Genomic DNA, 12,327 nt, shown 5'->3' with positions numbered 1-12,327 from the left:
CTCAAAAAAAGAAAAGAAAAGAAAAGAGAGAAAGAAAGAAAGAAAGAAAGAAAGAAAGAAAGAAAGAAAGAAAGAAAGAAAGAAAGAAAGAAAGGAAGGAAGGAAAAAAAGAAAAGGGGAGATTAAACATCACTGCACTTTGATTTTATAAAATAAGAGACTGAGATTCAGAAAGGTTAGTAGATTTTTTTTATATCTCATTGGCTGGAATTGGTCACATGACCACCTAGCTGCAAGGAAGACTGGAAAAGCAAGCATCATGCAAAAGGGAAATGTAATTCTTACAACAGAATATAATCGGTTCCTCCCCTAGGGCAGGGCACATTGCCACCCCAAACAAGACTGGGGTCCCCTTGGGGAACAAAAAGAAAAAATGATTCTCAAGAAGTTGTTAATCATTGTGCTATGAGTCCGATCTCAATGAAATCTCCTTAGGGTAGGATTGAGCCTTATGCATCTGTTTAGAAAGTTTGCCTGCAACAATCCACAGGCCTAGAAAGGTTGCCTGCAGCAATCTCCTTTAATTCTCACGACAATCCTACAAGCCAGGAAAGCAGACCCTGACTTTTAAAGTGTCTGCCTGAAATGGACTCCTAACGTTATGATTGTGCCCCATTTTAACAGATGGAGAAACTGAATCTCAGAGGTGAATTAAGTACCCAAGAGCACGCAATTAGTCAAGGGTAGAAGTGAGGTTTTAACTCATGCTTATCCCTTATTTCATATGTTTAGCATAGAGAGAGGCAGGACACTAAGGGAGGGGAGGCTTCAAGTACAGATATTTCACTATGCAGGGGCTGACTGCAGGAAGGTAGCAGGAGAAGGGGAAACACAGAGCTTGCCAAGCAAAGGGAATGGTGTGTGCAAAGCCTCAGAGGCAAGGTAGAGCACAGATATGACACACTGTCTTACAGGTTCAGAGCTTAAAGTTTGAAGCACCATCATACTTAGGAGTCTCTGGGTCTCGTATGAGGGCAATAGGGAGCCACTGACTCTTCTAGGCAGGGGAATCATATCACTACATCTGCAGCTCATCCTCGGTGGGGAATTTCAGCTGCAGGGAGCAGTACTGGAGTACTGGGAGGCCACGGAGGAAGTGAGAGGTGACCATGGCCTGGATTAGCGGTGGCCATGGGAATGGAGAACAAGAGAGATTCCGGCAAAAAGTCAAGGATGTTGAATCCACCAGATTTGGTAACTAGATGTGACAATTTGGAGAAAATGAGAAAAGCTGGCTGACTCCTGGGTTTTTAGATGGCAATGCTGCCACTTGCTGAGAGTGGTGGTGAGTTGGGCGGATAGGCGGAGGAGGGATCCATCATAGAGGGACAGGAACCCAGGTAGCCTGACTCTGGGGCCCATGCTATTAGTCACCATATGACCTGGATCCCTGGTACTTGTCATTTGATAGGAAAGAGTCAGGACTGGGCCAAGGGTATTTCAGGGGAACCTGATTGAAATAAGGAAACCTCCTTCACTGGGTATGGGTGCACTAGAAGCCCCAAGTCCTCAGGCAGCCAGCTCTGCACCCTGCCCAGAGCAGCAGGCACAGGAGAGTGCTGCCTTGCAGGACCAGGGCATGCACTCCTCTGTCACACTACCTCAGAGCTTTTTCCCCTCCACCCACCCAAGGCAAGGCACCTGGGTCCTCGGTTTCGCCTAAGAACCATCAGGGTGCACGAGACAGGTCCTGTCAGAACACTGGCACGCACTTTATTACTTTCTCAACCTGTGTCCTCAGAGAACCACCTGGATATTCTCACCCCCATAGTCTTGAAGCTAAAACTTTGTGTCAGGCGCAGAAAGGGTACAAATATAATGATTTAAACACTTAATAAACTCATCTTGAAATTCGTGTGGAAGAATAAATGCCCCCAAAGAGTCAAGTCAAATAGTTTTGACCAAGAAAAACAAGATATAAGGACTGCCCTACCAGATATTAAAGCATATTACAAAGCCATAGTAAGACAAAGAGTATGGTACTGGCTCAGGACAAACAGCAGGAAAGCCCAGAGCCAGATCTATGTGTTCAAAGGAACATACATGAAAAGATCACAGTAGCCAGCCAGCCCAGATCTCACTGGAGCGTGTGCATTTTGGAATCATCTTGTTTCCAGTCTTCTACCTGGGCACTCAGTATGTGGCCAACGAACATACCTGGCTCTGTAGGCAGTGCTAAAATTAGTGAGTTCATAAGACATTCCCCAGAAATGCCCACACTCATCCTAACAGCTTCAGGACACAGAGATTCACGTCTTTACTATTGTGGAATTGAGGCTTTGAGAGGCTGAGCCCTTACCCAAAGTCACAGAGCTGATACGTAGCAGAGGTGAGATGCAAACCCAGATTACCCTGACCCCAGACCCCGTAAATTACATCGCCTCTGGCTCGGCAGAAGCACTATGGGCTAGAGCCATTGAGGAAGACCTCTAGAAGGGCTTAAGATGAATCTCAAAAGGGCAGGTGGATTTAGACATGTGACCTGGATGAAGGGCATTGAAGCAGAGGAAGAGCCTGAGAAAATGTGTGGGCAGGGGCTGTTCAGCACAAGATACCCATGAAGAGTCTGGGGACATGAGGCTACAAGGAGAGTGGGGTCAGATGGAAGAAGGGCTTTGAATGACAGATACAGGAGCCGCGCTTTATTCCTTTTGTTTTTTGTTTGTTTGGTTGGTTGGTTTTGTTTTTGTTTTTTGAGACAAGGTCTCACTCTGTCACCCATGCTGGAGTGCAGTGGCGTGATCTCGGCTCACTACAACCTCCACCTCCCAGGTTCAAGCGATTCTCCCACCTCAGTCTCCTGAGTAGCTGGGATTACAGGCGCTTGCCACCACGTCCAACTAACTTTTGTATTTTTTTTAGAGAGACAGGGTTTCACCATGTTGGCCAGGCTAGTCTTGAACTCCTGACCTCAAGTGATCTGCCCACCTCAACCACCCAAAGTGCTGGGATTAGAGGTGTGAGCCACCGTGGCTGGCCTGACTTTACTCTTTTTGAAGGGCAGCTTTGATTTAGTCACTCTCCTGCTCCACAACCTTCCATAGCTCCATTGTCTCCTGGCTAATAAGGGAAGAGTATGCAGATGAAAAGATGCAGGGAGAGTCTGGAGTCAGAGAGACCTAGTGGGAGTCCGATGTCACAGTCCAGGAGCCAGGGTACAAGGGCTTGGAGAGGAGGAAGGAAGACTGTGTGCTCCGGGGCAGGGTTTTGAGAGATGCCCAGCCTAGGCATCCACCTCCTCCTCTCACCACATTGAGGAGTACCGCTTCCCTGCAGTCTGATAGCATTTCAAGCTCAGCAAATAGCAGGTACCTTATTCAACTCACAGTAGAACTGAGCCATGAATAGCCAGAAAAGCATTTAATGCCTATAGCAGCAAAGAACAGCCAGCAGCTCTCTCCTGGTTGCGTCTAGGCACAGAAAGAGAGACAGACATTCCTACACACATCTCTTACTCTGACACCTACTTAGGCAAGTTAATCTTGCAATGTTTTAGTTTCTTCAGCTGTAAAATGGGGATAATAATTGCACCTACTCTATAGGGTTTGATGAGATTCTGCTGAGATCATGTACATAAAAGCTTCAATGCAATAACTGGCATATACTAAGAGCTTAATAAGGTAGCTATTGTTATTAATGACAAGATAATTGTTTAGGTAATATGTTAAATCATAAACTATGTAATTAGCAGCTTTTAGCAAAGGAATTGGTGCTAGAATTATCAAACATTTATTTTACCCCAGAGGCAGAGACTTGGGCCTTATGACTCAGAAATGTCAGAAGATGAAACAAATTCAATTCAGTTCAAGAAGTTATGAATTGTCATTTTCCCCTGCTATGAAGATTGCTAATTATAGATAGATAGACAGAAAGTAAATAATGAAGACTGAATGTATTTTCCCCGTTTGAAGTACTGAATGCTATTAAAAAAGAAAAGAAAAACCTGTTCCCCTTCCACAAGTCCCTGCTTGTGTGACAGAAGTCCATGGTGTCACCTCTAGGAGTTCTCATTATTCAGCAGTTTTTGAAATGAGTGATTGATGTAATTAAAGTTATTGGTAAAGAAAGACTCAGTTACCAAGGGACAGATGAGTCAGCAGCAAGTTTAAGTAATGAAATAATGTTCCGAGGCATGATTCTTAAATAAGCTTTTTTTTTTTTTTTTTTTTTTTAACTCTAGACACCTTAAACATTGCTGGTCAGCAAAAACATGTGAAGCAGTTAAGAACTGAAGAAAACACACTACGCAATTTTAGAAATTCTCAGATGAAGTCATCTTCAATAACATGAAGCAATATTTATCAAGTAATAATGGCTACAGCTTCCATTTATTTTGTTTTTGTGTTTTGTTTTGAGACAGTCTTGCTCTGTCACCCAGGCTGGCAATGGTGCGGTCTTGGCTCACTGCAACTTCCACCTCCCTGGTTCAAGCGATTCTCGTGCCTCAGCCTCCTCAGTGGCTGGAATTACAGGCGTGCGCCACCACGCCTGGCTAATTCTTGTATTTTTAGTAGAGATGGGGTTTTCTCATGTTGCCCAGGCTGGTCTCAAACTCCTGAGCTCAAGCCATCCACCCACCTCGACCTTTCAAAGTGCTGGGATTACAGGTGTGAGCCACCATGCCTGGCCCAGCTTCCATTTATTGATTGTCGACAATGTGCTTTGGTGGGCTTGGCAGGCACTATCTCATTTGCCCTCTGAGCCGGATACTGTTATTATCTCCATCTTACAGATGAGAACACTGAGGCTCAGAGGGATGAAAGAACTTACCTGGGATTCCACAGCTGGCACATGTCACAAACTGGAATGGAACACAGGCATGCATACTCTGGAGCTCACCTTCTCACTCCCCACATGTCCTGGGCATCTCTGTCTAGATTCCATGAGCATTTAGTCTAGCTCACTAATATACTCCAAATAACAGAGGGCCGTCAGGATTTGAACCCACATCTGTCTGACACCAGCTTGCTTTCAAAATTCATAGGGAAATTGTATAGGAAAGTTCAAATACATTGGCTTAGGATTCATTCATTTGTTTTCATTTCCATCTGCATTTCTTGAATACTCAGGACACACCAGGCTTTAGGCTTCGTGTAAGTGGTACAAAGCTGATAAGGGCAGGTAGACACTCCAGAGATATGTGACAGTCCATGCAACAGAGGACAAAGGCTCCAATTAGAGTATGGAAGGGAGGGAAAGAGAGGCGCCAGGAGGTTTCTACATTCCCTCCACTGGGTGACTGGGTGCAGGACATGGGGAGAAGCTGATATGAACCTAGGGCTAAGGGGAGGAATGGGGAGGGCTTAACTTCAGTTTGGGGCATTTTGACATTGAGTTGCATGTGGTCCTTCTAGTTGCAGATACAGGTTGAGTATCCCTTATCCAAAATGCTTGAGATCAGAAGTGTTTTGTATTTTGCATTTTGGGGGGATTTTGGAATATTGGAAAATATATAATTAGATATCTTGGGGACCCACATCTAAACATGTAATTCACTTATATTTAATATACACCTTATATACACATCCTGAAGATAATTTTATTTTTCCCTTGGGGACACTGAATACACCATGTGTTGTTTACCCATGTTTTGACTGTGGCCTGTCTCGTGAGGTCAGGTGTGAAATATTTCACCCAGTATCATGTCAGCACTCAAAAAGTTTTGAAATTTGGAGCATTTTGGATTTCGGATTTTCAGGTTAAGGATGCCCAACCTGTATATATTCAGCTAGTCGATGTGTGGCTTAGAGCAAGGGTGAGAGGCAGGAGTGGGTGCTAAGCCAGGTGGGCGGTAGCAGCACTGAGGGGCATGGCTGATCTTCCAGGGCAGGTAGGGGAGGGCCTATCTGATCCCCAACCCGAGGAGAAAAGAAGGGAAAAGGGACAAGCTAGTGGGCGTTGCCTTTGAGTGACATTACAGCTGGGAGCCCAAAGCCCCCACTTGTTGACACTCAAAAATTACCACATGTCACTGTGGTTGGCTTTAGGAAGGAGGGGACTGGGATGAGAAACCCCATTTGTGAGTAACTGGAGAAAGAGGACACGAGGGGCTCCTGGGGCAGAAACTTCTGGATGGAAGATGACATCTACCCCTTCACTGCGACGTTACCTGAGAACCCCAACTCCCCACCCCGCTGTGCTTTCTCACAGGTGCAAACTCTGGCCACCTCTCCTGTCCCTGCAGAAGAAAAGAAGGGCCAGGGATTTTTATGATGTCAAAGAGCATATTTGGTTGTTGGTCTTGGCCTTTTACCCCCAAAGAGTGACCCACAGACAGGAAAAAAGGGTTCAGGTATTGCAGGACCAGTGGGACAGAAGCATTGAAATCTCACGGGTTTGCAAGGCCCCTCCCGTTTGAGTCCTGCACCCTAGAACCACATTTGAGATGAGGATTCCAGTGCAAGGGGTTTGATAAGAAAGAGCTCCCAGAGGGAACCGATGAGGAAGTCGGGGGAGCAGGGTGGGGAAGGGAAGGCAGACACCCCTGGCTCTGTCCCCAACCAGCTGACTGATCTTGAGTAAGCTGCTTTACCTCACAGGACTTCAGTTTCCATATCTGTAAAATAAGCAGTTGCTATTTTCCAAAGTGTAGTAAGTACATCTCTGGAAAGACATGACATGATTTTAGGTGGGGATGAAGAGATACTCATGCAGCCCATATAACTTTGAGGGCAGCCTGCAAAGAAGAAAGAACAGGGTGAGGGGAAGCCTCTAGAAGCAATCAGAGACCCTGAGAAACTTTAGTCACTTTCAAACACATGGGGCCAATAATTTCACTGAATTAATTTTTTTATAAGGGTCTTCTGTTTCAGTTTCAGTAGCATTATAAATATTCCTAAATAAGCAAATCATGAAAGAATTGGAAGGAAATTATTTTCTAAATAGTAATCAAAATAGAAATTGCACTCATTCCAGCCCTGGAATGAGTGAGTTTGAAGAGCATGGAGTACAGGGCTCTGGTTCCTTCTAGTCCCCAGCCCTGTGGGGCCCCAGATGCTCCTCCTACATGCTCTAGAACTTGTCAGGCCTTAGTCAGATTGAAAGGGAAAATTAAAAAGAAAAAAAAAACCAGAAAGAAAAACAACTCCACCAACCAAAATAAACCAGGCCAATGACTTTTCTGCCACACTCTTCACAAGAGCAAAGAGGTGGTATTTATTCCAAATGAGCCCTTTTCCCCACGTTGCCACTAATCTTCTCTTTTATGTGATCCAGGAAAATTGGTCCTCAGCGACCAATGAATATCTTTCATAGATGAGTATTTGGAAAAAAAGACACCTATTACACAGGGTTTGGACTTAGATACTGGATACAAATAGAGGGCAAACAAAACAAACAAACAAACAGAAAATCTTGTGGTTTGGATCTTAAAAAAAGCCTCAGAAACAACTATGTGGTGTCTGATGTCAAACCATGTTAGTTGGGAAGGTGTCTGGAACATTCTGGAACGGTGAAGGGATTTGGAATCTAGGGATAACAGATGTCTCACTCTGCTTGAAAGATGTTGAGATGCTGTTTCTAAGGGCCTGTGGATTCCCTTGGGGACAAAGCTACCGATCATTTACAGAAAAAAAAATAAAACAAAACAAAATCCCCAAGTCAAGTAAAGGATTGAAAAAAAAACAGTGAAGCTGAAATGTCAGAAAAAAAAAATTCAAAATAAATGCATGAAGGACCCATGATGGGGGGCCTTGCCCCCAACTCCAATCTGTCTTTGATAGGAGTTGCTGTGAAATGATGGGCAAAGGAACATTAATTTTTGCTGGCATCACATGGGATAATTGTGGGCAGGCAGATGTCACTTCAAACAGAAGAAATGAGTAAATCCTTTCAAACAGCAATTGTTTAGGAAAGAAAACACTCCCTGGTAGGCGAAATGGCCCCAGTTCCTCCTCGTTGTTGAGTCTCTGGGAGAGACGACACATCCCAAGCTTTTTCTTCATCTGTACTTCATACATGGAGTCCTGAGGAGGCAGTCATCCTCCAGCAGTGTCTGAGGAGGGCTAAGATGTTTCCCAGCCCAGCCTAAATATATCTCCCTTGACAGCCTGTCACGGTGTCTGAGATTCCGCCATTATAAATTCATTCCTCTCTGTTAAAGCATTTTGTTTCCAGGAGTTCTCTGTTAAAATACAGATATCCCAGAGAACTTAGTTTGGATGAGGCAGGGAAAAATGCAGGCCTAGGAGTTAGGAGACTTGGGTTTTGGATCCATCCCTGTCTCTAAACCCATGGCATGAGCTTGGAGAAATCATTTTCATTTCCTCAGTCTTAGTTTCTCCACTGGTAAGGAGAAAAGAAATAAACAGGGAGGCCAGGGTGCGGTGTCTCACACCTGGAATCCTAGCACTTTGAGAGGCTGAGGCAGGAGGATGGCTTGAGTCCAGGAGTTCAAGACCAGTCTGGGCAACACAGTGAAACCCCATCTTTACTAGAGAAATAGAGAGAGAGAGAGAGAGAGAGGGAGAGAGAAAGAGAGAGAGAGAGAGAGAAAGAGAGAGGATGGATAGATAGGTTATTTTTTAAAGGAAAAAAAGAAAAGAAATGGGAGATGTGGTCAAAGAACTGTAAGGTCTATGGTTTCAGGAGAGAGGATCTGTTGAGTTTTCCCTGGACTTGTGCATCTGCCTTGGGCATTTGAGTGCTTTGCCACTAGATGCCTCACGTGTCCACAAAAGCAGCTCCTTTTGGCCCAATGGCTTGAGGGTCAGGGCAATGAGTATTTTACTTACCCTCTTTCTGGGGAAAAAAAAATCCCTGCACCTCCCTTAATGTTAGGCATACCAGCAAATGACACCCCCTATTATCCTGGGGACTCAGGCCCAAATCCTTAGAGGCATCCAGCATTCTCTGCTCTTCTCTCTTGGCCCATATACAATCCATCATCAGTAAAGCCTGTTGACTCTGCCTTCAAAATATAGCCCAAACCTGAGCACTTCTCCCCGTCTCTCTGGGTACCACCAAGTAGAGGTTGGTGCAAAGCAACATTCCCTCCCCCTGAATTCTCCATTGGCCTCCTAACTGTTTCCTACTTGCACTCTTGTCCTACCAGACTTTCAGCTCTCACACCCTAGAGATGCATTTAAAACATAAATTAGATCTTGTTGGGCCGGGCACAGTGGCTCAGGCCTGTAATCCCAGCACTTTGGGAGGCCGAGACGGGCAGATCGTGAGGTCAGGAGACCAACCTGGGTAACATGGTGAAACCTGTCTCTACTAAAAATATAAAAAATTAGCCAGGCATGGTGGCATGTGCCTATAGTTTCAGCTTCTCAGGAGGCTGAGGCAGGAGAATCGCTTGAATCTGGGAGGCAGAGGTTGCAGTGACCGAGATCGTGTCACTGCGCTCCAGCCTGGGCGACAGAGTGAGACTCTGTCAAAAAAAAAAAAAAAAAAAAACCCACAAAAAACACCAAAAACAAAACAGAAAAAAACAAAAAACCCATAAGTTAGATCTTGTTACTCCCCTCAAAATCCTCCCACACTTCCTCCTTTTCTCCCTCTCTCATAAATCCCAAATATCCCACCAGGACCTACAAGGTCCCATATAACCTGACCCTAGCTTTACCTAGGCTTCTTCCCCTTCCACAAAGATCTCCTTGCTGATCAAACCCTGCTCCCACTGCAGGATCCTTGCATTTGCCCTTCCTTCTGCCTGGCACTCTCTTCCTGCAAATATCTGCATGGCCTGTTCCCTAACTTCTTTCAGGTCTTTGTGCAAACACCTAAGAGAGCTTCCTAAGAGAGGGTTCCCAGACTGCCCTCACTAACCCCTTACCCTACTAAATTTTTCTCATAACTCTCATCACCTGGACATGGCAATAAGTCATTATCTCACTCATTTGTTTATTTTCTGTCATATTCTCTAAAGTGTTGGAAGGCAGGGACTTTGTTTTGTTCATTGCTGCATCACCAATGACTAGAACAGTACATCTGGTATATTATGGGTGCTTAACTGACAGTGGTTAGAGTAAGGGAAGGGAAGAGTTTAAATGGGGCTGTACTAACACAGAGACTAGGATAGGCATTCCACTAGAGAGGTCAATGTCAAGGTCTTTCCTGTCTTCTGTTGCAGGAACACGGGATGTCCTGGGAAGGCAAGGGAGAAGTCCGCTGTTGGGAGATCTGGGACGGACAGAGTGAGGTGGTGTGAGGTAGGCAGGGGAGGTGATTCAATTGGAGAAAATAATCCAAGTTGAAATTGTAAGTTCATGGGTTGCAGGTTCTTGATTAAAACCAGCAGAAATAGCCAAAAGGTCCTTGTGGACAGATTCCAAAAGACAGGAGCCTGCAGACGAAGGGTGGGTTATGAGAAGAAGAAGTTCTGAACTGTCCAGCAGACTAACCTGAAAGTAGATTCTGCCATGTAAACAAGCCACGTAGCAGCTCCAGTCAGCTCCAGAAAGCTCAACTCTGAGCAGGTCACTCCCTGGTCAAACTGCCTTCCAGTCTCCCTCACTGTCCCAGTTATCAAGCCCCAGCCAGGAAAGCTGGGAAGGTGGAGGCAAGTGCTGAGAAAGATCAGCCATTCAGGCAGGATTCTCTCTCCCTCAAGTCACAACCCAAGCCTCTGTCTCCCACCCTCTGTTTATTCCCAGGCCTTAGCTAGCATCTCCAGTGAACTGAAGTCTTAAAATAGCATGACTTTAATAACCATATTGAAGGATAGCCATGTGCCGTGCACTTGAATCCTCACAAAGCCAGGAGTGGTAAAGCCCCATTTCACAGATGAGGACACTGAGGCTCAGATTGGGTATTGGATCTGTCCAAGGACACATAGCTAGTAAGTTGCAGAGGCAGGGCTGAGCCACGAAGGCCCAAGTACCAACCCGGTAAACTATAACATTTTGGGAAGGCAACTCCAGTCCCCCAGCTCTAGGCTGCCTCGGGTGCCACAGTCACACTCAGTCCTGGAGAAGCCATTGTCCCCATGGGCCTGCAGCCGACCTCCCCGCAGGCCTGGACAGCTGGTTCGCAGGGGGCGATGGCGGCAGCTAGAGCCTGTGCCCCGAATTAGGATGGGGTTGTGGGGGAGACCGCCAGCAGGAAGCAGCTAAGGAAAGCACTCAGGACCGGGCACTTGGGGAAACTCAAGCAGGCGCTGAGCCCCTGGAGACTGAACCCCAGTTGTGTTGAGCACCGCCGCCAGGCCGCGGGTGCAGACGCGAACTCTCCAGTCCTTGTTTGATGAGCAGCGGCCAATAAATTCATTAATCATCATTTTATGCCTCATCAAACCCCCTCCAAGCCCCTCCATGGGAGTTACACAAATTAGCCCCTGAAAAGACAGTAATTTCAGTTTAGCGAGGTAAGTGCTTTCTGATGGGCTCCGCGCACAGAGCTCTCCTGACAAGCCGATCCATCAGCGCGTTGGGGACGGGGCGTGGCCGGGACGCCCTGCCCGGCCTGGCCTCCTCCCACACAGCCCTTCCCAACCTCGCCAGTCCAGCCATCCAGCCCACAGTGTCTCAGCCTAGGGCGCCCCTCACCACCGACTGCTGTGTACCCATTCTCGGCAGGTTGTTTCATCAGGTCTCTCGCCCTAGCCCATCCCGACTTCCTCCGCAGCCCTTCTGAACATGAGAGAAACTGCAGGAACGAAAAACCAAGACCCCAAATTGGAAAACAAACTTGCAGGGAAGGAGGATGCTCTGGCCTTGAGGTTCGAACTCCCGCCCCGGGGAGGCAAGAGCCAGGCACCCCTTTCTCCTAATGTTTGGTTTTCGGGGTTCCGCGACCCCTTGCAATGACTTAAGTGCTCTGTGTATTGTGTTCCTACATTATTTGGGAGAAAAGAGGTTAATCCATGTCTTCCAGCTGATTCTGAAAGAAATCTCATACTCCAAAAGAGGGCCTTGTGGGAACAGAGGAGGGGGTCCTTCCTTCTCGAGGGCGGCTCCGCAGGACCCTGGGGGCTGGAGGGTCGCACCTGGTCTTTTTCACGGCCCTCGCGTCTTTTTCTGAAACCTCCAATTGAAGTGGAAGACGACGCCTGGGGAATTAAGAAGATGACTGGGAAAGAAGATAGCAAGGATTTTCTATGGAATGGGCCCAGCCAGTATGACCCAAGCGTGGAGACTTGGGTAAGAAAGGGGAGGGGGACAAACCGAGATAGAGAAAAGAGAAAGTTGTGGCGAGGGTGGGGTATTTGCAAGCGCAATGCCAACACCACGCCTTCTCACTTTCCCAGCCTGGCGCACAGAAGGTCCCGGGGGGACCCTATCTAGCGGGCAGGGCCAGTGCAAAACAGGTCGACAAGGAGTTGCAGCCTACGCGGGGCCGGCCGGCCAGCGTGCCACGGCTGCGGAGAGCTCGAGTGCCCAGCAC

At 46.8% G+C, this 12,327-nt stretch overlaps 1 annotated feature.

The window, feature by feature from the left end:
- Positions 11,239 to 11,801: an enhancer, noted in NCBI's record as "H3K4me1 hESC enhancer chr16:54973318-54973880 (GRCh37/hg19 assembly coordinates)". NCBI's record gives its function as "activates a minimal SCP1, AML or CMV promoter by ChIP-STARR-seq in naive H9 embryonic stem cells {active_cell/tissue: H9 hESC(naive)}" and the evidence as "EXISTENCE:reporter gene assay evidence [ECO:0000049][PMID:30033119]".

Source organism: Homo sapiens, chromosome 16 (genome assembly GCF_000001405.40).
Source record: "Homo sapiens chromosome 16, GRCh38.p14 Primary Assembly".
NCBI classification, from domain to species: domain Eukaryota; kingdom Metazoa; phylum Chordata; class Mammalia; order Primates; family Hominidae; genus Homo; species Homo sapiens.
The sequence above is the reverse complement of the archived record's forward strand: the minus strand, read 5'-3'. Positions and strand labels throughout refer to the sequence as shown.